Here is a 26230-nt window from a genome sequence, read left to right on the forward strand (position 1 = left end):
GATTACTAAAGCTTATTCCTCCTAACCGAAATTTTGTACTCTTTGATCAACCTTTCTTCTTTCCCCTTCCATCGCTCCTAACCCTGGCTTGTGGTAATCATCATTCTACTTTCTTCTTCTATGAATTTGATATTTTTTAGATCCCACATATAATTGAGATCATGTAGTAGTTGTCTTTTTGTGCCTGGTTTATTTCATTTAGCATTAATTCATCTTGTCTTTTTAAAAGCTGAGGCCGGGTGCGGTGGCTCACACCTATAATACCAGCACTTTGGGAGGCCGCGGATGGCGGATCATGAGGTCAGAAGTTCGAGACCAGCCTGCCCAACATAGTGAAACCCCATCTCTACTAAATATACAAAAATTAGCCAGGCGGGCATTAGTGGTGGTGGGTGCTTGTAATCCCAGCTACTCGGGAGGCTGAGGCAGGAGAATTGCTTGGACCTGGGAGGTGGAGGTTGCAGTGAGCCAAGATTGCGCCATTGCACTTCAGCCCGAGACTCCGTCTCAAAAAAAAAAAAAGCTGAATAGTATTCAAATGTGTATGTGTATATATATATATATATATATATATATATATATATATATATATATATATATTTCATCCAATGATGGACACCTAGGTTGCATCTATATTGTAGCTATTGTGAATAATGCTGCAGTGAACACAGGAGTACGACTATCTCTTTGGCATACTTATTTCATTTCCTTTGGCTATATACCCAGAACAGGAGTTACTGGACGATATGGTAATTGTAATTTTACTTTTCAGATGACACTCCAAACTCTTTTCATAATGACTATTATTTTAAATTTTCACCAACAGTACACATGGTTCCTTTTTCTGCTCATCCCTGCCAGCATTTGTTAAATTTCATCATTTTGATAATAGCCACTTAAACACGTGTGAGGTGATAACTCATTGTCATTTTAATTTACATTTTCCTAATGATTAGTGATAGTGAACAGTTTTTCATATACCTATTGGCCATTTGTATGTCTGCTTTTAAAAAAAATTTATTTAGGTCCTTTGTCCATTTTAAAATTGTGTTCTTTCTTTTCTTGCTATTGAGTTGCTTGAATTTCTTATGTATTTTGAATATTAGCCTCTTACCAGATGTATGGGTTGTGAATATTTTCTCCCGGTATGTGGATTGTCTCTTTACTCTATTGATTATTTCCTTTATTGTGCTTAAGATTTTTAGTTTGATGCAGTCTCATTTGTTTATTTTTGCTTTTGTTTTGCATGTGCTTTTGGGAAAACCAAGAAATTTTTGCCCAGATCAATGTCATGTAGCATTTCCCTTGTTTTCTTCTACAGTTTTGGGACTTACCTTTAAGTCTTTAGTGCATTTTGAGTTGAGTTTTGTGTATTGAATAAGGTTCTAATCTCATTATTTTGCATGTGAATATCTAGTTTTCCCTGCATAATTTATTCAAGAGACTATCTTTTCTCCATTGTGTGTTCTTGACACTTTTGTCAAAAATCAGTAGATTGTCAGTGCTTGAGTTTATTGCTGGGCTCTATATTCTGTTCCTTTGGTTGATGTTTCTTTTTCTTTATGTTGGCACTATGCTGTTTTGTTTAATATAGGTTTGTAGTATATTTTGAGATCAAATAGTTTGATGCCTTCAGTTTTATTCTTGCTCATTAATTTCCATATGAATTTTAAAATTGCTTTTTCTCTTTCAGTGAAAAATGCCATTGGCATTTTGTCAGAAATTGCATTGACTTAGTATATTACTTTTGGTAGCATGGGCATTTTAACAATACTAATTATCCCAATCCATGAACATGGGCTACCTTTCCATTTATATAAGTCACTCGCTATTTCTTTCCTTAATGTTTTGTGGTTTTCAGTATTTAGAGCTTTTAAGTCCTTGGTTAAATTTACTTCCAAGTATTTTTTATGCTATCATGAATGGGATTGATGTCTTAATTTCTTTTTCAGTTAGTTCATTGTTAGTGTGAAGGGATGTTATTGATTTTTGTATGTTGATTTTGTATTCTTCAACTTTACTGAACTTCTGTATCAGTTCTAACATATTTTTGGGGGAATCTTTAGGGTTTTCTGTAGACAAGATCATGTCATCAGCAAACAGAAACAATTTAACTTTTTAATTAACTTTTTAATTTCCTATTTGGATGCCCTTTATTTCTTCTTCCTTTCTGTCTGTTTGCTGTGGCTAGAACTTTTAGTACTACATTGAACAGAAGTGGTAAAGGTGGACATCCTTGTCTTCTTTTTGATTATAGAAAAAAGCTAAACTTTTTACCTTTCAGTATGATGTTAGCTGTGGGTATATCATAGGTTGATGCAGAAGTAATTGTGGAATATATGACCTTTATTGTGTTGAGGCCTGGAGCCTGACAATGCAGGGACTAGTCTGGTAGTGGGATGGGTCTGGATTCTGATACTGCAGTGGCCAGCATGGAGCTTGGGACTGTGGGGTCATGCTTGACCTTGGGTTCAGTGAGGCAGATCTGGTGTTGCAGTCCAATGAAAAGTTGAGTGCTTATTTCATTCTTCCTTGACTTAGGGGTATCTTGCTCAGTGTTGTGCTGCTTGGGCTTGTGGGAGGGGTAATATGGATAATATTAAACTGGCTTTTCTACACTATTCAATGCATTTTTTTTTTTCTTTCGGACTGCAGTAAGGTGGTATAATCTCTTGTCTGGATTCCTTAGCTGTTGGGAAGGTATTATGATGCATGGATAGTTTTTCAAATGAATGTTTCTATGAGAGATGAACACTAGAAAGTCTTATTCCACTATCTTCCTAACATCACTCCTCTAGAGTTTTTTTTTTAATCCAGATATATGGGGGTTTTAGTAGAGTTTTATTTGTTTATTATTCATTTTTGACTTAATTGTATTGTCATCAGGACTCATTGTATGATACTATTTTTAGGAATTTGTTGCAGTTATCTTCATTTGCTAATGGCAAGTTAAATATTATAAATGATTTATATATGCTGGTTTTTAAAAACAGGAATTGATAAACATAAAATTTAGGGTAGTGGTTACTTCTGGTGGGAAGAGGCAGTAAGAAAGGTTAAGGGAGCAACACACAGATCGATACAAGTAGTAGCATTAGAAATCTAGTCCTTAAATTAGATAGTTTAATTATCCCATTATATAAATTACTAACAGTTTTACAAGCAGAAAATGTACATGCTATTTAAAATCACCACCATAATCTTTTGTCTTCACAAAATAATAAGCAGTACTTTTTTTCAGATTTTTTCTTATATAGATGTAATTTATATCATTCCCAAGCAAGACATAGAGTATAATCAAAATACAGTAGTTTTCTCTGTCACTGACCCTTTAAAATATATTCAGTGCAATACATTTTTCCCTTGATCTTGTATGAAATCTCAGACTCACTCTTAGTTAATATAAGGAACTCCTGAGAATTTAATTTGCAAACACGTGTGTAAGTAAATAATTAAACTTGTCTAGATCAGATAAAAGTAAGAACTCTGAACATATTTTGAAGCCAAATTTTCTCTTCTCCTCTATTCCATATGTTCTTTCATTCTTAGCCTAGTATTTTCCTCCTTTCCTGGCTCAATAATTTTTTTGATCTTTCTAGGGGAGAGGAGAAAATTATAGTCTTATGTGTGAAGAATAGTTGTCATATTTAGTTAAGGTCCTCTGTGTGAGAGATGCACAATGGCTGATCCATTCTCACATAAATGTCTTTGGGGGCTCTTCTGAGTCTTGACCTTTCTAGATGCAATTCTCGTGATCTGTGGGAGACACATACTTTCTTCCTGTTCTGGCAACTTTTACTTCAGTTTTCAGTTGAAGTCCTCCAGCACTTCCAGGCAATCCTGTTGGTCAGAATATTAAGTAGATGCTGGCTAGCTGGAAGAAACATACTTTCTTTTTCTTGACTTCAGTGTTAGTACAAATATTTCCTAAAAGTAACTGTTTCTATTTGTCCTTCCACCTCAGTTAAATAGCCATAGCTGGTCACACCTAATTCAGAATTTCCTCTAATATGCCACCTAGATTTTAAGGGGACCCACAGCAGACTCTTCAAAAACTTCTGTGAAGTCCCACTCATTAGGCTTGTGTAAGAGGACAGACAACCACTCCCTTGGCAGGCAGAAGACTGGATTACTAACACTGAAATGGGCTTTTCTGATAATCCCCATCCAATCTTTCCCCCTTTCACTCTTTTTGCCCCTTTTATTGACTCTATCTGGTTCAAAGATTACTGGTTTTGAACTTTTGTTTTAGTCTCTTCTTTTGAAAATGTTCATATTGGTCTTATATTTCACTTAGGTATACAGTATCTATTTTCTTTCAGAGACTCAATTGAACTAGCAATATGATTATCTGGTTACATTTGTTTGCATTTATTAATTCATTAACATATATGTTAGAGTTACTATTGATACTGGAAGAAAAATAATGAAAAAGTTGAACATTGGGAAATTTTGACTCATTCACTTAATTTTATATGGCTCTACAATTCAGGAAAAGACCATATCATTTCATTTTTGTCAATAGAATGGTTTAGCTAACTGGTAGTGTACAAGAACAGCAGTAGTTCTCATTAGGTGTTTTTGAAAGAGTTAGTGACACCATCAGCCTTGTCTGTTTAGAATGTGTTATTGGATTGGAGAATTAATTGTAACCTGGAAATACTGAAGGCAAAGATATCTGCTATGTGATTATATTGTTGTCAGTAAGAGAAAGTGGATGACAATACTTTGTGGTGGCTGTTAGAATGAAAAGGAGGGGTCAGATACAAGAAAGATTATACATGTAGAAATTAAAATCTACCAATTGACTGGATGTTGGACATAATTAAGTGTGAGGTTTATGTCCTAAATAATTGAACAGTGCTCTTTAAGAAAGGATTGCAAAGTAAGAAAAGGAGACAAGTTTATATGAACCAAATTAATCATGCAACTTTTACAAAATGGAAAGTTTCGTCTAGTACTCTAAAAGGATGATCTAAAAAGATCTAAAAGGATACTCTAAAAGGATGAGGATGATCTCAGAAACTTAAAAGGGTGAATTTAGAGGAAATAAATAGATGTTCTTTTTTAAAACACAATCTGCAGCTATGTTTTTATTATTCTTACCAGTAGTAATAACAGTGGAAGTAATATCTGCCAATTATTAAGTGCTCAATATGTGTTATGTGTCTTAAATTACATTACCTCATTTAATTTTCACATCAATCCTGGAAGCTAAGTGCTGTTATTCTTCTTTTGCAAATGAAGAAATTAAGCATAAACAGGTTAAGTAAATTGTCCAAGGTCATATAGTGATTTTAGATGTAAATTTTGAACCCAAGCTGTTTGAGTACAAAGCTCTGGCACTAACGCTTTGAAACTCACTTTATTAAAGAAATATACCAAAGTGAAAATGGAGAGAAGCCCAAAGAAGAATTAGATAACAGTTATATCCACAGTAGACTTCAGGATATCCCCCAAAGACTTTAAGGAATTTCACAAAATTTTCAGAAAAGTGAATTTACTTCCCTTTAATTAAAAATAATTTATACTATCTGGTAACCTTAGTTTTTGGATGGCAAGAGGAAGTTACAGGACATAAAAATAAGGTAATAATAATACTTGAAATGTGAAATGTGCATGTTTGTGATGTAGAATATTCAATATCATTTTGGTTTTGACTTACAGCTTGTACATGCAGTGGCCATGCAAATATCTGTCATCTGCACACAGGAAAATGTTTCTGCACAACTAAAGGAATAAAAGGTGACCAATGCCAATTGTAAGTAAGAATGACTTTTTAGAACTTTCGTGGATTGAATTTGTGTTGTTGAAGTAATTTTTATGTTTTACTTTTTAATTTAGTGTTGTGCTAGTTAGGCATACCTTTATTACAATTTTTAACTTTTATTTTAGATTTGAGGGTACATGTGCAGGTTTTTAACATGGGTGTATTGCATGATGCTGAGGTTTGGGATATGATTGATCCCATTATCCAGATACTGTGCATAGTACCCAATAGATAATTTTAAAGTACTTTTTCCCCTTCCTGCCTCTCTCTCTCTAGCAGTTCCCAGTGTCTGTTGTTCCCATCTTTGTGTCCCTGTGTACCAATATTTAGCTCCCATTTATAAGCAAAAACATGTGGCATTTGGATTTCTGTTCCTATGTTAATTTGCTTAGGATAATGTATCCATGTGGCAGAGGATATGATTTCATTTTTTATGGCTGTGTAGTATTCCATGGTGTATGTGGACCACATTTTCTTTATCCAGTCCAGTGTTGATGGGCATTTAGGTTGATTCCATGTCCTTGCTATTCTGAATACTGCTGCAGTGAACATATAGGTGCATGTGTCTTTTTGGTAGAATGATTTATTTTTCTTTGAGAATTTACTTGCACCTAATGAATTCTCTTTAAAAATTAAACCTTTTAAAGAACAATTTTGTAGAGGCTTTAAAACAACCCCATAGAACATGTTATCTTTTGCATTTCTAGAAAAAGATGCATTCTTAATCTTATGTATCAAATCTACATTATCTTTACACTTTTCTTTCATATTATACCTAATATAATGTCTCTATGCCGTTCTTTTTTCAGTCATTTATTATTAATTCTGATAATTAATTCCAATTCTTGTCCTTTAACCCTTTCAGCTGGTTCCTTATATTCATCTTCTTCTCTTTTCTCTGTTCTTTCAGTATGCAGGAACCCTCTACTGCTACTCTCCTCTCTGTACTTTCATGAATGATTTTTGTCTTAGCATTTAGTTTTTATTCTAAAATTTTATTTTCCTTCAAAAATTAACTTTAAAAGGCAGCATTTTAGGCTATTTAAATTGTTTTTTATTCTTTTTCTTGTTTATCTATATTATTAAAATCAAATTTTTATGGTTTTGAATTATATATGTACAAATACATGTTTATATTAGGTATATATGTACTGTATTTGACACAAATAATAAATTCCAACCATAATAATTACAGAAACATAGGGAAAGTTTAATAAAGAATTCTTCAAAACTATAAATATATAAAAATTTATACCTAAAGTCTATTAAGCATGGAAAATGATCCTTTTATTTTTATTTAAAATAAATATATTACTTGTTGCAGAGTTATCCTAAATGTTTCAAGTTAGGTGATTATGTCTTTGCTTAGCCACCTAAGTATTACAGATTTTCAAATTCAGACAAGGTAAGCACAATCAGTTTTTATTCCTTCTCTATAGTCTGAAGTTAAATACAAGTTCACAGCAAAAGATCTTGGGGGAATTCCTATTAAGGAAGGCCATTTTGGTCTTAAAACCAACGGAATTAAATCATTGTCTTCTGTTCTAAGATCAAGGATGCCTCTAATACTTTGCAACACTAAAGCTTGATTATAAGTAAGGCCAACTTCATGGGCACGTGGCCTGTGAATTTATACAGGTTCCCACACTTACAAGGGCAGCACACTTGGTTTAGTGCTCTGCTATCATCATCTTGAAATTCTTAATAACTTTTAAATAAGAACTCTACATTCTTCTTTTGCACAATGTTCTCCTATTCCCTGCAATTATGTATAATAGCATGTTCTGGTTATAAGTAATGTTTCTCTTGATTAACTTCTATTAAATATGTTGGTTGGATAGCAGTGTGCAGCAATGAAAATATTTTCTGTAGACCATAGTGGCAGTATTACAGATAAAAATAATATATGAGATTCTACCATGATAGTAAACACTGTCAATCTTCTTAGTATAGTTTTACTTAAATAGTATAGCCATATAACTATCCATAATAAATAGTTCTTTGATACAGTATTGCAGTAACATATTTTTGTTTACAGACAAAAGAAAGCAGAATTTTAATTCATTGAAATAGTGAGCTTGTAAGCTTAGCTAAAATAGAGTTATAAGATTTGGCATATGTGCAAAATATTAGAAAATCAATCATATAGTTCTTAATGATAAAAGTACATTTTCCCCGTTCTCATTTATGGCTTTTTATGAAGAGGATAATAATGGAATACTAATTTGTAAAGAGTATTTTGTAGGTGGTATTTGTACACAGAATTCCATTCATTTACTTTTTTGTTTATTTAGCTTTTGAGTATGGAGCAATAAAGAATAGGCTCATTATTTTTAGAGCAATTAATTGCTATAATCTGCTTATACCTGAAAAAAATGGTTTGTTAGGAAGGAGAGCTACTCCTTCAAATCAGTAAACAATTATTAAGTGAGTACTTGATACTACTAATGAAGATGAATAACATATGGTTTTTGTTGAAAGTATCTCAGACTAGCAGTGAAGACACTGACCAAAATACAGTATACCAATTTCTTACATTAGTGATTTAATATGCTTATGAACCCCTTCCACTTCTTAGGATAATTTCTGTTTGGTTTTAAGTATTTAGTCAGATATCATATCTTATATATTCTTAATAACCATCCTAAACTGAAATCGGTTCTCTTCATATCTGTTAATTTCTTTTCTTGCATTATTTGTGTACTTGTCTGTGTCCTTTACTAGAGTGAACTTTTGGGGGGACCATTGCAACAATACCACAATGTAAGTGTTCAATAAATTTGTTTAATAGAATGGAATGAAGAAAGTATTGATGGAGCACTGAAAAGGGAAGTATTAATTTATTTTGGTTGGATAAGAAAAATTTAAGTAGAGGATGTTTGAACTAGAACCTGAAGGAGTAATAAAATCAACTTTCTGGGAAAAGAAAATAGGAAACAAGGGGAAATGCATCAATAAAAGCAAAGAAGTAGAAATGAACATGATCATAGCATTTCCGGTCTTTGCTCAAGAATGTTGAGAGCTGGAAAAATATTGCTTCTACCCTTACAATGAAAGGGGAAAAAGCTGGATAAACTGTAAATTCATGAGTTTTCTTGAAACCATTGGAGAACTGAGAAAACAGGGTAATCAAATGACCACAAATCTAAAGAGAGACAAGAGACTGCAGAGAGATGAGACATGAACATTGGCTTACCTGGAGCAAAATCATCTGGAAACTGATAAGAAGAGATCAGCTAGGGTAGTTGATATTTGGCGGGGATTAGGTATACACTGTCAATAGTGTGAAGCTCCTGGGAGCCACAGAAATTGGTAGAGTATGGAGAGCATACTCTTTGTAGAGTTTTCAAGCCACCTACTGTGGCTGCCATTCCCTTCCACCAGTTGCTCAGGTAAAAAAAATGAACATTTTAAGAGAGCATTCCTTGTATTGTACCTTGTGGAAGGGATTGGCAGCCGCAGTGGGCAGGGCATCAGTAGTACAGTCAAAATATTCATTTAGATGAGCACCAAATGATTCATTTTGCTGTAGTAATGACAGTTTTCAGTCTTTTTTTGGCCCAAAACACAGCTGATCGTCAAAAATTGTAACTTAAAAATGAATTTCCATTTGTGTCATCTCTGATTTTTTTGTGCAGTGGTTTTTAGTTTTCCTTGTAGAGATCTTTCTCTTGCCTGGGTGTTTTCCTAGGCACACATAATTGTGTGGCAGTTATGAATGGAAGTTCTTTCCTGATTTGGCTCTCAGCTTGACTGTTATTAGTGTATAGGAATGCTATTGATTTTTGCACATTGTATCCTGATACTTTGCTGAAGTTGTTTATCAGCTGAAGAAGCTTTTGGGCCGAGACTATGGGGTTTTCTAGATGTAGGATCATGTTGTCTGCAAGCAGGGATAGTTTGACTTCCCTTCTTTTTATTTAGATGCCTTTGTTTATTTCTTTTGCCTGACTGCCCTGGTGAGAACTTCAGATACTATGTTGAATGGAAGTGGTGAGAGAGGGCGTCCTTGTCTTGTGCTGGTTTTCAAGGGGAATGCTTCCAGCTTTTGTGCATTCAGTATGATGTTGGCTGTGGGTTTGTTATAGATGGCTCTTAATATTTTGAAGTATGTTCCTTCAGTACCTAATTTGCTGAGAGTTTTTAACATGAGTGGATGTTGAATTTTATAGAAACCCCTTTCTGCATCTATTGAGATAATCATGTGCTTTTTGTGTTTAGTTCTGTTTATATTATGAATCACATTTGCTGATTTGCTTATGTTGAACCAACCTTGCATCCCAGGGATAAAGCCTACTTGATCATGGTGGATAAGCTTTTTGATATGCTGCTGAATTGTTTGCCAGTGTTTTGTTGAGGATTTTTGCATCAATGTTCATCCAGGATATCCACCTGTAATTTTCTTTTTTTGTTGTGTCTCTGCCAGGTTTTAGTATCAAGATGAGGCTGGCCTCATAGATTGAGTTAGGGAGGAGTCCCTTTTCCTCAATTTTTTATTGAGGAGAGTATATCTGGTAGAATTCATCTGTGAACTCATCATGTCCTGGGTTTCTTTGGTTGGTAGGCTATTACTGCCTCAATTTCAGAGCTGATTATTGGTCTGTTCAGGAATTCTGTTTCATCCTGGTTCAGTCTTGGGAGGGTTTATGCGTCCAGAAATTTATCCTTTTTTTATTTTCTAGTTTATGTGCATGGAGGTTTTCATAATGTTCTCTCATGGTTGTTCATATTTCTGTGGGGTCAGTGGTAATACCCTTCTTGTTGTTTCTGATTGCGTTTATTTGAATCTTCTCTTTTTCCTTTGTTAGTCTAGCTAGTGGTCTAGCAATTTTATTATTTTCTTCAAAAACCAGCTCCTGGATGCATTGATCTTTTTATCTTTTGTGTGTGTGTGTGTCTTTATCTCCTTCATTTCATCTATGATTTTGTTTATTTCTTGTCTTCTGCTAGCTCTGGGATTTGTTTGCTCTTGGTTCTGTAGTTCTTTTAGTTATGGTGTTAGGTTGTTAACTTGAGAGCTTTCTAACTTTTTGATGTGGACATTTAGTGCTATAAATTTCTCTCTTAAGACTTCCTGGAAGACAACCTAGGCAATGCCGTTTAGGACATAGGCATGGACAAATATTTCATGATGAAGGCACCGAAAGCAATTGTAACAAAAGCAAAAATTGGCAAATGGGATCTAATTAAAGAGCTTCTGCACAGCAAAATAAAGCATTAACAGAGTAAACAGCCTACAGAATTGGAGAAGATTTTTGCAAACTATACATCTGACAAAAGTCTAATTTCTATCATCTATAAGGAATTTAAACAAATTTACAAGAAAAAACCAACCCCATAAAAAGTGGGCAAAGGACACGAACAGACACTTTTCAAAAGAAGACATATATGTGGCCAAAACTCATATGAAAAAAGTTCTACATCACTGATCATTAGAGAGAATTAAAACTGGACCTCTTCCTTACACTGTTAATGCAAAAATTAACTCAAGTTGGATTAAAGACTTAAATGTAAAACTATATAATTTGATTGTGCTGTGGTCCAAGAGACTGTAATGATTTCAGTTCTTTTGCATTTCTTGAAAAGTGTTTTAATTCTAATTATGTGATTGATTTTAGAGTATATGCCATGCAGTGATGAGATGAATGTATATTGTGTTCTTTTTGAGTGGAGAGTTCTGCCTGTATCTATGAGATCCATTTGATCCAGTGCTGAATTCAGGTCCTGAATATCTTTGTTAATTTTCTGTCTCAGTGATCTGTCTAATATTGTCAGTGGTGTGTTAATGTCTCCCACTATGATTGTATAGGAGCTTAAGTCTCTTTGAAGATCTCTGAGAACTTGCTTTATGAATCTGGATTCTCCTGTATAGGTGCATATATATTTAAGATAGTTAGATTTTCTTACTGAATTGAACCCTTTACCATTATGTAATGCTGTTCTTTGCCTTTTTGATTTTTGTGAATTTAAAGTCTGTTTTGTCAGAAACTAGGATTACAACTCCTGCTTTTTTCTCTTTTTCATTTGGTAGGTAGATTTTTCTCCATTCCTTAGTTTTGAGGCTATGTGTGTCATTGCATGTGAAATGGGTTTCTTGAAGACAGCATACCAACGGGTCTTGGATCTTTATTCGGTTTGCCTTTCTATGTCTTTTAATTGGGGGCATTTAACCCATTTACATTTAAGGTTACCATAAAATATTTAATTTCCAACAGAATTTAACAAAGACATTGTTATGTCTTATATGCAGTAAGTGTACTAACTAAATGTATTTTGGTTGGAAAAAGATAAACATTGATTTATTAGGTTAATGGTTCTTGGTGGAGATGGAATAGCACCCCCTAGAACTTCATAGGTTTTCATAATTAATTATTCTAATAATTGGGGAGTGCTACTGGCATAAGAGGATGAATAGTCACAGCCTCTTATTAGAATGGGCACTTACAGAGACCAGGAAATAAATAAAATCTAAGTCCAAATATGTTTCATTGAGTACAGTAGATCTACAAACTCACTCTGTAGTCATTTTCCCTGTTCCTTAGTTCATAATTAAAATGGATGTATGTAGCAGCCAGCAGATGTCTCATATTGGCTTCCTGACCTGTGGAGAAAGAGCCAGTAAGGTAGAGAAGGGCCAAGAGAAAGAAACCCTTGAAACTAATTCCATTCATTCTGGACCCAGTCAAGATGGCAAATCAGAGATCTCATGTCAAGACAAATAGCAGGCTGCTGAAATGGAGAAAATGAGGGATTATGATATTCTCAAATATGAGCTGGATCCTATTTATAAGTGTAGTGCCAAAATAATTCCCTAGCTTAAAATGTGGACAGAATTGTGATAAAATCTAACAGAAAATATATTTTCTTTCTTGAAATCCTACCACATGTCAATGTATACATTCTGTTTCTGGTATGTAAAAAGACTGTAGAGACTATATCATGTCTTAGGAAACGGGACATATTTGAAAAGGAAATAGTAATATAAGAGCCAGTCAAGTCATGTTGTAGACCTCTGGAACATTATCAGAGTCCCCTGTTTAAAAACAATTGCAATCTCCCCCACAGTAATTTTACCATGTAGTTTCTACCGCATACATTTTATATTATAGCACTATGAAATTTTAACAAATGCATAGGACAGGAATAATATGATAATTTTAGTTCCTATATTATGAAATTCAGTAGTACTCATAATTTGGCACCAATTTAATATGTTTTTGTTTTTATCTCTTAAGAGGTATCTCAAATATTCTCCAGACACATTGTATACTCACAGATGTGTGTGAGCAGGATAGCTATTGGTGATGAGATTTTCTTAAATGAATATCTCTTGGTCAAATTCTGAATAATATTATAAAAGGTATATTTTCAATTTACATGATAGTTGCAGTTGTAGAAAATTCAATATGTGTTATAAATATGCAAAACTACTTTGTGTTTATATGTAAAATGGAGTTAGATTCCAGGCTGAAATATTTATGAGCACATTTTTCACCTACTTAAACATCTGCCATGTTATTCTAAAATTATATGAGATTTTGATCCCTTTTTTATTTTGTGGAATTACTTTGTATTTTTGTAGGATGTCTGCACCCCTGGTTTCTCTTTCATTCCATTCAGTAAATTCCAGTGGAACTCCATAATTATGGAAATAATGAATTGTTACTCACAAATTTATCCCCACTCACAACCATGTGCCTTAAAAATTAGTGTTTTCCCTTATCTAGCCAAAAAAAGTTTATTGTTTCACTGTTTAATATAAGAGCTCAGATCATTTTATTGATTTCTGGTGAAAAGTACATATAAATGGCACTCTTAGATATTTTGTTGGTAGATTAGTCAAAATTGATGAGTTGATTCAAAATTGTTTTACTCTCTGTTCACAGTAAATTGAAGATAAACTTCTCAAAGGCATTTGGAATTAAAAATACCATTTCCTAAGATATATGGCAATATTACTAATCAGGATCTTAATTGTGCTAATTAACTTATAACTGGCTCCCCTTTTCTGTTCCTTATACCTTTCCCATTTACTGATCTTACAACTTCTTCATAGCTACTTACTTCAGGCTTAAGACCCTGGTTCTCAGAATTAGGGCACAGAAGAATCTCCTGGGATATGGTGACTAAACTCCTGGGATGGGAGCCAAAATTCTACTTTACTAATAGTAAATTGTGAAATAAAAATTCTTGATACATTTTGAGAAATGTTGCCGTAGGAGGATCTTCCTGAACATTTTTTTTCCTCCTTGGCTTACCTTTAGGCCAGTAATATCTAAGATTATTACCCATTTTTCTCTATCTTGTTTTATCAAGTCTCTTTTGTTTGTTTGTTTTGTGAAATTGCCTTAATGATGATGCCAATGAATTCCTTTCCGTTTTAGGAAGATCAAAGTTGTGCCTTCTTTTCTAGAACAGATTCTGGCACATACTAGGGACTTTAGATTTTTAAAAATAATGTATCTTGGATCTTTATTTTTCCTAATTACTCTCATCTTTTTTTTTTTTTTTTTTTAGTCTGCTATATGGGGAAAAGTACATCTTTTCTCTATGTGACTTAATCTACATTGTTATAATAGAGACTACAGAGGAAGAATAATTTTCTGTACAGCCTGCCTGCACATAGGTTATCACCTTTATAAACACAATTGGATAAGTAACTAGTGACTATGGTCTTCAAATACTGACACTAACTTTTTTTTTGTTTGTTTTGAGACAAAGTCTAGCTCTGTCCCCCAGACTGGAGTGCAATGGCACAATCTTGGCTCACTGCAACCTCCACTCTCTGGGTTCAAGCGATTCTCATGCCTCAGCCTCCTGAGTAGCTGGACTACAGGCACTCGCCACCGCACCCGGCTAATTTTTGTATTTTTATGAGAGATGGGGTTTCATGTTGGCCAAGCTGGTCTCAAACTCCTGACCTCAAGTGATCCGTCCACCTTGGCCTACCAAAGTCCTGGGATTACAGGCATGAGCCAGTGCACCCAGCCTCCAACACTAAATATTGTTAAGATTTTTCTAGGTTGTTTTGTTGCTGTATTTGCAACTGCAGATAAGACTAATGGTTTCTTTGTGATAATGAGTTAAGCAGCCTTGATGTCTAATATATAAGATACTTGAGGAACTCTTATGCTTGCTTTATTCTGTAAACATTTATTCACTGAGAGGCTATGAGACAGTACCAAAAGCATACATCTGAAAATATCAGTTCAGAACGCATGTTACTCATGTTAAGGTTGGCCAGTATGAAACCATATATGGTTTTGTCCGATTTCTACCCTTGAGGAATATGTTTTGGTAACAAGTCTAACTTGAGCATATAACTTCCTATGTCAGGTAAATGTTTGAGTTCTTTTGGAGTATGACTTAATGAATTTAAAGCTCTTGGATTTTAGGAATGTACTTTCAAAGTTAAATGTTAGTTCTCCCATCAGTCTTTCTATACCAACACCTTGTCCCTCAAAACTATACTAGATTGAATGTCATTTAATCGCCAATTTTGAAAACATTCTGAACACAACTCAGCTGTATTTCGCAGCCTCCATTGCAGTTAGGTTGGAAGTCATGTTATTGGGCTCTGTCCGGTAGACAGAAGTAACACCCACCACTTCTAGGCCTGGCTCTTAAAAACCTCATGTGCCATACACCCTCTGTTTCCTCATTCAGCAGTTCAATGGAGAGGAAGATGAGGATCTGAAAGATTGCAGAGGCTAGGAATAGCCCAGATCCTGGAAGACTGCATGGACCAAGACCTTTTCTCCAAATCCATTCCACACTGGACAGTGTCTTCAAGCTGGAATCAAACTTATTGTATAGAACTGCTGAGATTTTAAGGTTGCTTGCTAGAGTTAGCATATTCTTCCATGAGTAATTAGTATTCCCTTAGCATCTAGCTTGACATCCTTAATTACTGTACTTTCATTTAAATAACCTTAAGGGTCCTGTTCATTAAGTGTGACTGCTGGAGTAGGTTAGTGAACAGTGTGGTGGTATTTAGGTTTAATTTGTTCTTTAATCCCCATTCATCTCTTAAAACTTGCAAAAACCTCCCAGCTTTTTTTTTTTTTTTTTAAATCAAAGCTGTTCTCATTTAAAGCTATTGTTTGGGAGACTAGTATAGTCCATGATTTCCAACTTGATTATTACATTCACATAAGGCATAAAAGTTAAATGGCTTTATTTAACTCTAGATGGTCAGAATGGTTCCCAATACATGATAGAATTGTTGGAATTGCTAATAAAAAAGAAAAGTGCACAGTAAAGAACAGAGTATCAAGTTAAGATTTAGGATATACTACCTACAAGTTGGAAGAAATTAGAAAAAGAAACAAATGTGTATGTCAAAGAAAGAGACAGCACTTTAAGCATTTATTTTACTTTGATCAGTCTTCTATATATTTATTATTAAGTTATCTTGAAATATCAGGGGATGAAATAAATAGCCTAGTATGTCCCAACTTAACATTGTATGAAGAAATAAAGTTTTAACATTTAAATGTAGAAAATATATCTGGTATATGTGTAGGTGTTTTATCAAAATATGGACTCTCATGTCAAATGCATGTGTGTTATAGGATGAACTACTGCTATACACTAGTATGTCCTTTTGATTTATTTCTGGAGCTCCAGTGTAGTGGCTATGTTGTATAGTTTAGCACTTCTGGTTTTATGGAAAAATGGTAAGTGACTGAACATATTTCAGTGTAATCTCTTTTTATAACAATTTTCTTTTTTGTCTTGTTTTGGCAATTTGCCGGTGCAAATATGATATCCTTTCTTTATTGTTAATAATGTTTGTCCTCTCACCTCAACATAATGTTTTGAGATTTATCCAAGTTGCTGCATTCAGATAGCTGTAATGTGATCCTATTCAATGTTGTAGAGTATTTCATTATATAATTATAACACACTTCATTCATTTGCCTGTTTTCTTTTTTTTTTTAATTATACTTTAAGTTTTAGGGTATACGTGCACAACGTGCAGGTTAGTTACATATGTATACATGTGCCATATTGGTGTGCTGCACCCAGTAACTCGTCATTTAACATTAGGTATATCTCCAAATGCTATCCCTCCCCCCTCCCCCCACCCCACAACAGGCCCCAGTTTGTGATGTCCCCCTTCCTGTGTCCATGTATTCTCATTGTTCAGTTCCCACCTATGAGTGAGAACATGCGGTGTTTGTTTTTTTGTCCTTGCAATAGTTTGCTGAGAATGATGGTTTCTAGCTTCATCCATGTCCCTACAAAGGACATAAACTCATCATTTTTTACGGCTGCATAGTATTCCATGGTGTATATGTGCCACATTTTCTTAATCCAGTCTATCATTGTTGGACATTTGGGTTAGTTCCAAGTCTTTGCTATTGTGAGTAGTGCCGCAATAAACATACATGTGCATGTGTCTTTATAGCAGCATGATTTATAATCCTTTGGGTATATACCCAGTAATGGGATGGCTGGGTCAAATGGTATTTCTAGTTCTAGATCCCTGAGGAATCGCCACACTGACTTCCACAATGGTTGTTTTCTTTTTTTGATAATTCCAGTTTTGTTTTTCCTTTTTCACCATTACTGTTAATGTTTTATCAGTATTCTTATATGTTTCCTGGCTTACAAATGCATACATTTTGTTGAGTGTGTATTCATTATTCATATTTTCAACTTTGGAAAATTAACTGTTTTGTAAAGTGATTATATTAAATTATACCCATTCCAAGTCTTTATGAATTTTATTAATGCTCCACATCTTTGCTGATAGTTGGTATTCCAAGGCATTTTAATTTTGACACTTCTGATAGATGTGTAATTGCTATGTTCTTAAGCTTAAAAAATTCCTTAGTTCTTAAAAGTTTATTATGTTTAATCTTTAAAAGTTTCATCTCTTTAATCACCGGTGGAATTTTCTCTTTTTATGATGTAGTATTATCTCAAGTTTCTTGTGATTTTTCTGCTGGATTCTCCTTAATCATTTTTAGTAATATTTTATACATGCTATGTACACGTCTTTTGTTGGTGATATGTTTAGTAAATGTCACTCTGTGGTTGGACTTTCATGCCAATTTGTATGTCTATAATGAGACATTCTTAATTTTAATATAATCCAGTATATCCATCTTTTCCCTATGGTTAGTGCTTTTTTGGGTTCTGTTTAAAAATTCTTTCTGTTCTCCATTATCAAGTAGTATTCAGATAGCCAGTTGGTCATGGAATTTATTTTTGGCCTGAAGGTTTTAACTTTCATCCAATTTCTTTAAAAGAGATAAACTATTCAGATTTTTGTTTCTTCTAGTGTCTGTTTTGTTCTTTTCCTTTAAAATATTTTCATTTATTTATTTAAATTGGATTTTATTTTTAAATTGACACGATAATGGTACATATTTATGGTGTTCATAATGATGTTTCAGTACATGCAGTGCATAATGATCAGATAGGGCAATCAGCATTTATAATCTGTTTGTGTTAGGAACATTAACACAAATTATCTTTCCAGCGATTTGAGCTATATAATGTATTATTGTTAACTATAGTCCTCTTAAAGTAGTATAGAACATTAGAACTTATTCCTCCTATCTAGTTGTAATGTAATATGCTTTAACAAATCTCTCCTTATTTCTCTTTCCCTACACCCTTCCCAGCCACTAGTACCTTCTGTTCTACTTTTTACTTCTATGAGATCAACTTTTTTTTTTTAGCTTCCACATGTCTAAAGACATGCAGTGTTTAACTTTCTATTCCTGGCTTATTTCACTTCATGTAATGTCTTCCAGTTCCATCCATGTTGCCACGAACGACAGGATTTCCTTCTTTTTAATGGCTGAATAATATTCCATTGTGTATATATCCTACATTTCCTTTATTCATCTATTGATGTACACTTAGGTTGATTACATATCTTTGCTATTGCAAATAGCATTGCAATAAATATGACGATGCAAGTATGCCTTTGACATACTAATTTATTTTCCTTTGTATAAATACCCAGTAGTGGGAAGTCTGCATCATATGTATGGTAGTTCTATTTTTAGTATTTTGAGAAATTTCCATACTGTTTTCCATACTGGCTGTACTAGTTTACATTCTTATCAACAATGTATAAGAGTTCCTTTTTACCACATCCCCACCGGCATCTTATATTTTTGTCTTAAAAAGACACAGCCATTTTAACACAGCCATTTTAACTGGGGTCAGATGATATCTCTTTGTGGTTTTGATTTGCATTTCTTTTTTTTTTTTTTTTTTTTTTTTTTTTTGAGACGGAGTCTCGCTCTGTCGCCCAGGCCGGACTGCGGACTGCAGTGGCGCAATCTCGGCTCACTGCAAGCTCCGCTTCCCGGGTTCACGCCATTCTCCTGCCTCAGCCTCCCGAGTAGCCGGGACTACAGGCGCCCGCCACCGCGCCCGGCTAATTTTTTGTATTTTTAGTAGAGACGGGGTTTCACCTTGTTAGCCAGGATGGTCTCGATCTCCTGACCTCATGATCCACCCGCCTCGGCCTCCCAAAGTGCTGGGATTACAGGCGTGAGCCACCGCGCCCGGCCTGATTTGCATTTCTTGATGATTAGTGATGTTGGCCATTTTTTCATAGGTTTGCTGGTGATTTTGTATGTCTTGTTTTGAGAAATGTCTGTTCAGATTATTTGCCCATTTTACAATTAGATCGTTTGTTTTCTTGCTGTTGCAATGTTTGAGTTCCTTATGTATTCTGGCTCTTAATATCCTGTCAGATGAATAGTTTGCAACCCATTCTGTGGATTGTCTTTTTACTCTGTTGATTGTTTCCTTTGCTGTGCAGAAGTTTTTTATCTTGATATAGTTATATTTGTTAATTTTTGCCTTTGTTGCCTGTGCTTTTGAAGTCTTATTCATAAAATCTTTTCCCAGATCCATGTCCTGAAGCATTCCCCTGGCGTTTTTTTCTAGTAGTTTTATTGTTTCTGGCCTTACATTTAGGTATTTGATCCATTTTTCCGTTGTTTTTTGTATAGGGCAAGAGGTGAGGGGTCTAGTTTAATTCTAATGCATATGGATATCCAGTTTTCCCAGAACCGTTTATTGAAGAGGTTATTTTTTCTCCAAGTCATCTTTGTTCTTGGCATCTTTGTCAAAAATCAGTTGGCTGTAGATATGTAATTTCTGTGTTCTCCATTATGTTTCATTGATCTATGTGTCTGTTTTTATGCCAGTACCTGTCATTTTGGTTAGTACTACTTTGTGGTATATTTTGAAGTCTGGTAGTGTGATACCTCCAGCTTTGTTCTTTTTTGCTCAGGATTGCTCTGACTACTAAAGGTCTTCTGAGGTTCTATACAAATTTTATTTTATTACTTTTTTCTATTTCTGTGAACAATGTCATTGGTAGTTTGAAAGGAATTGCATTCAATCTGTATAGCTTTGTGTAATATGGCCATTTTAACAATATTAATTGTGATTCGTGGGCATGAGATGTCTTTTTATTTGTTTGCATTCTCCTCAATTTTATCAGTTTATTTTGTAGTTTTCCTTGTAGAGTTCTTTCACCTCCTTGGTTATATTTATTTCTAGGTACTTTTTTGTTAGTTATTCTAGATGAGATTTGCCTCTTGATTTCTTTTTCAGCTACTTTGTTGTTTGTATATTGAAATGCTACTGATTTTTTAATGTTGATTTTGTAACCTACAAGTTTAGTGAATTCATTCAGCAGTTCTATTAAATAATAGTGTTTTGGGAGATTCTTTAGGATTTTCTGTACACAAGATCATGTGATCTGCAAACAGGACAATTTCACTTCCTCTTTTCCAATTTGGATGCCTTTTATGTCTTTTTCTTGCCCAATTGCTCTGGCTGGGACTTTCAACACTATGTTGGATAAGCATGGTGAGAGTGGTAATTTTTGTCTTGTTTTAGTTCTTACTGAAAAACAAACAAACAAAAAAACAAAAACCAAGAGCATGATAGTAAAACAGGAGTAGATTAACCCTGATACCAAAACCAGACAAGGATACAACAACAAAAAGAAAACTATAGGCTAATATCCCTGATGAACATGTATGCAAAAATCCTGAACAAAACAAAAGTGTTCAGCTTTTCCCTATTCAAATTAGTGTTTGGTGTGGTTTGTCATGTATGGCCTGTATTGTGTTGAGGTACTTTCCTTCTATACCTAATTTATGGGGAGTTTTTTTTATCATGGAGAGATGTTGAATTTTGTCAAATGCTCTTTCTGCATCTTTTGAGATTATCATATGGCTTTTTTCCTTCATTTTGTTGATGTGATGTGTCACATTTATTGATTTGCATTGTGTTGAACCATCCTTACATTCCAGGGATAAACCCCACTTGATCTTAGTGTATTATCTTTTTATATATTGTTGGATTTGATTTGCAGTATTCTGTTCAGGAGTTTTGAAAATGTCCATCAGTGATATTAGCCTATAGTTTTCTTTTTGTTGTTGTGTCCTTATCTGGTTTTGGTATCAGGGTTAACCTAGTCCTGTTTTACTATGATGCTCTTGTTTACTGCTATTTTTTCATTTATCAGTTTGGAGATTTCAGAAAGTTTAGCCATTTCTCTTTAAAAATTGCTACTTTTTTTTTTTTTTAACAGAGTCTTGCTCTGTCACTAGACTGGAGTGCAGTGGCACAATCTTGGCTCACTGGAAACTCTGCCTCTCGGGTTCAAGTGATTCTCCTGCCTCAGCCTCCCGAGTAGCTGGGACTACAGGTGTGCACCACACACCCAGCTAATTTTTGTATTTTTAGTAGAGATGCAGTTTCACCATGTTGGCCAGGATGGTCTCGATCTCTTGACCTCATGATCTGCCCGCCTTGGCCTTCCAAAGTGCTGGGATTACAGGCATGAGCCACCGCACCTGGCCTCTCTCTCTCTGTTTTAAAAATATTATATGATAGCATTTTGGTGGGTTTCTTTAGGGAAAAAAAGAGAAAAATAAGTGTGTTTTACCTTTTATATCTTTATATCTTCATTTAAAAAGAAATATTTTATTTTCAGAGACAGAGTCTCACTCAACTTGTCATCCAGGCTGGGGTTCAGTGATGCGATCTTGGCTCACTGCAACCTCTGCCTCGTGGGTTCAAGTGATTCTTCTGTCTCAGCCTCCTGAGTAGCTGGGATTACAGGTGTGCGCCACCATGCCCTGCTAATTTTTGTATGTTTAGTAGAGACAGGGTTTTACCATGTTGGCCAGGCTGGTCTCAAACTCCTGACCTCGTGATCCACCCACCTCGGCATCCCAAAGTACTGGGACTACAGGCATGAGTCATCATGCTTGGCCTACCCCTTCATATTTAATCATAAAAATGCAAAATTATTTAGCAGATTTTCAGCTGTTTTAAATAATCTGTAATATTTTAAAATTATGGCTGTTACATGCCCCTTATTTTAGTCTCTGAGTAAAAAAATTATGTATCTTGACAAGGTATATGTATATATTTAAACATTTGAATATATATTTAATATATTTAATATCTAAGTGTTCGTATTATAAATTCAAATATTTAAATAAATTAAATATTTAAATTTAAAATTTTAATTTAAACATTTAAATTAAAAATACTTTAAAACTTATAAATGTAGAATTATTTTATATTTTGTTTTATACAAAATGTGTATAACAATGTTAGCGTTTACATAAATGATAATCATTATTTAGGTGACATTTAATGAGATTATTTACTTCTTCAAAGTCTGTAATACATAGTTCAGCCTAAATCTGTTTTCCATGAAAGTCCAGCTGCTTGATTAGTTTGCTTAGTGGAAAAGGAGTATGATTATCTCTTTGCTTAGACACAGAAACCCTTTGAAATTACATTTTTAATTAAGCCATTACAGAAGACTTCTAAAGGCTTTTAATGTTTTTATCAGTCTTGAAGGGTTCTGAGTTTTTAAAATATTATTTAGCTCAAATATCAGAAATATTAACATGATTTATGTTGTAAAGTATCAATTTGTTTAAGGAATTATTATTTATATTTAAATGTTTTACATTTTATTTACCTGTTGTAATCTGAAGTTGAACTTGCTAAAATAATTTATGTCTCAATTTGCTTTTTTATTATGTGAATTAGATTAGTGGTTCATGTTCATACCTCAAGTAAATATATTGAAATATTTTATATTATAAAATTCTATCTATAACAAAAATTTTATGTTGGGCAGCTCCTATATTGACCATTAATTATCTATGACTTCTGGTATTCATACCATTGTGTAGTTCCATTTCCTTCCTTGAGTGTGGGCAGGACCTGTGCTTGCTTCTAAACCAGAAAATAATGCAAAGTTAATGGGATATTACTCCTATTATTTTGTTACATTACATGGTAAAAGTGATGGTTTTCACTTCTGTGAATATGCTGTGAAGTCTATGCTTCCTAGAAAACTTGCTCTAGTGATTTTTTCTTTTGCTGGCTCTGAGAAAAATGTAGCTGAGAGTATCCTCTAGCAGCTGAGGATAGCCACCAGCCAATAGCAAGTGAAAAACCAAGGCCCTCGGTCCTATAGTGGTAAGGAAATAAATTTTGCCAAAAACCTGAGGGAAAATAGAAGCAGGCATATGCCTAGTTAGTCCTCTGATTAAAACCAGTCCCAGCTGACACCTGATTGCAGGATTACAGTGGACCCTAGGTGCAGCCAACGTCTTGATTGCAGTCTGCTGTGACTCTGAATCAGAGAACCTGGTTATGCCATGCTCAGACTCCTGATCCACGGAAACAGTGATATAATAAATGTGTGTTGATTATAGTTACCAAATTTATGTATTTTTATTGAGCAATAGATAACTAGTACAAATATTATATCCAAGTACTCTGATATTTTATTTACTGAATTATACAACTCTACATTAGATATTTTTGTAATATATTCCTTAAGTGTTTTCAGACTAGGAAGGAGATTTCTAGTCTTTGGTAGATATTTTCTTGAATGGGGAAAATAATTTCAACAATGCAGATTAAGACTTTTCCTAGAACAGAGCATTTCTGAAGAAATTTTACCTTTGTGTAAATAAACACAGTAGACTGTTACAGAATAAATGAGTTAAACTATTTTAATTGATCTGAGTAATTTACATTTTATATCTGCAAAATTGCCTTAATAAGGTATTTGTAATTTTGTTATATTGTTTTCTTCTTATGTTGAAAATAGTTAGATCCTCCATTCTGATTTCTTAATTTGCATTTCTTTGGGGGATCTACAATGAAATTGATGGATTATGATAATCTTGATTCCAGATCATATTATTATTAGGTTACATCATAATCCATAACGGATATGCCAAACATTTTAATATCACCTATTTATAACAGGTTAGCACAGTTTTATCAATTTATTTTTGGCATGTGAGGAATGAGGTGGGGAGTCATTGGTTTGCATAGCATTGCATTGTGTATAAGTAATATTTTATACATTTGTTTGGGATTTCATCTGTTTTATCCTTTGTAATGAGATATTTTCCCATGAGTGGTGACTCTGCTATTAGAATCAATTTGCTAGCCTGTGAGGATCTTGGATTTTGAGTGGAAGTATAACAAGTAAGCCTGCATTCTTTTTTCTCTTTTGTCTTTTTTAAGTGAATTAAACGTGGAACAAATTTATCTGATAGGACGTGACATTAATGAAAATAAAAATTTGTTTATTCTTGCCTAATCTTAATTTTTATGATGATGTTTACCAACTCCTATGGTAGACTCCTTCACATTTACCAGACAGACCTCAACATTTTTCTATAAACAAGACCCTTCCTTTCTTGTCCCATTTATTTATCTATTTATTATTGGAATGGACTCATGAATTCCTGTTTTTTTCCCAATGATTTATAATTCACTAATGTTTTTAACCACTTTGGTGCTCACATTGTCCAAGATTTGGCCAGTAGGAGAGGCTTCAAGCTAGCTCTTTTGTTTATGTGACACACCTATCATTTTGTGAATACTTCCTTACTTTCTGGTATAAGAAGATATTTCAGGCTCATCTTATTCCTCTTCTGCCTCAGTTGTGGAATCAGCTGTATATCCTTTTGGAGCTCTAGTTCCTTGTAATGGAATATCATATTAGAGACCAAGATCTTGGTGCTAGGTATGCTTTTTGCTCTTTGAGGTATCTTTACTTAGTGGGTTGTTTGGTGAACAAAGTTAGGAAATAATAATTTATTTATGTGCACATATAAATATACATATGTGCACATACATGCATACATATGCATGTATATACACACATATAAATATTTTAGAAAGCATTTCTTCATACCAAAACTTCCAATTCGGATCTATTTCTGCAAGGCTTTTGTACCTTCTCCGGCTCAGTATTTGTTCCTTCTTCTACAGTAAATGAACACTGACTTCCAATGACATCAACATATTTACTTGTTTGCTCAATTCTATATTGTAATCTAAAATAGTTTCAGATTTACTTTGCTTATATCACTTCAGTAAGAAAACCTACATAAAAGATTCTGGAATCTGATTTCAAGCTTCCCTCCTCCACCTTGCCCTGCACCAATTCGGAGTATGTAGTCAAATTTTGGGTTCCTAAGTTACTTTGAACCTTCCTTCCCTCCCTCTTCTCTTACTCCCTCCCTTCCTTTCTTCTTTCATTCCTTTTTTCCCTCTTCTCTTCTTCCCCTTACCTCTCCTCCTATTTCCCTCCTTTTTTACTTTCTTTTTCCATCAATATAGAGATAGGATTCACTTGAAGTTTATTAGGCTCTTATTTCTACTTACTTCTAATTTTATGAATTTTTTCCTTTCCCATTCTTATTGTATTAAAATAATTAATTAAATATGTTGAACATTAATAACCTGAAACTACTTCCAGTATACTCAGAGAGATTATTGTTCATTTCTTTCTCCCTCTTCCAGTAGGTAACCAATTTTATTGTTTTCTGGTTTATCCTTCCCATCTTTCCTTTCATAAAAGTAAAGCTGTATGAGCTGTGTGTGTTTCTGTCTATGTGCGTATCTTATATTTATATATATAGTTATTATTTCACCTTCTTACACAAAAGCTGACATATTATTAGATGTATTTTAGATACTCTTTTGAGTTTTACATTTTTTTTCTTCTTTATAATACTTCCTGGAGCTCAGTTAATATCAGCTCATAAAAATGTTCATTTTTTTGTTCTGTTTTGTTTAGAGATGTATAGTATTCCATTATGCATATGTACCATAGGTTAACAAATCTATTCGGGGACATTTAGACATTTTTCTGGTATTTTGCAATTAAAATTACGCTACACTGAATAAACTCGTATGTATGTAGTTTTATAATATTGGAGGTTTTTCTTAAGAGCAAATTCCTTTCAATGGGATTGTTGGGTCGAAGAATACATGCATATGTAGTTTTTTAGATATTGTCAAGTTGTCCTCCATATGAATTTTCTCATTTTCTATTCCTACTAGCCCACATGGGATGGCCTATTCATCTACAGACTCATAAGCAGGATATATTGCTATGCATCTGAA

At 33.9% G+C, this 26230-nt stretch overlaps 1 protein-coding gene across 11 annotated transcripts in view; it reads left to right on the top strand.

Annotated features, from left to right (window-relative positions):
• ATRNL1 (attractin like 1) overlaps positions 1 to 26230 on the top strand; it is an 855635-nt gene that overhangs the window by 295627 nt on the left and 533778 nt on the right. For all 11 annotated transcript variants that reach the window (NM_207303.4, XM_011539587.2, XM_011539588.3 and 8 more), the window contains one exon: positions 5668 to 5761. In NM_207303.4, the coding sequence (NP_997186.1) occupies positions 5668 to 5761 (94 nt within the window). The remainder of the gene's footprint in view (positions 1 to 5667; positions 5762 to 26230) is intronic.

This window comes from Homo sapiens, chromosome 10, assembly GCF_000001405.40.
Source record: "Homo sapiens chromosome 10, GRCh38.p14 Primary Assembly".
Taxonomy (NCBI): domain Eukaryota; kingdom Metazoa; phylum Chordata; class Mammalia; order Primates; family Hominidae; genus Homo; species Homo sapiens.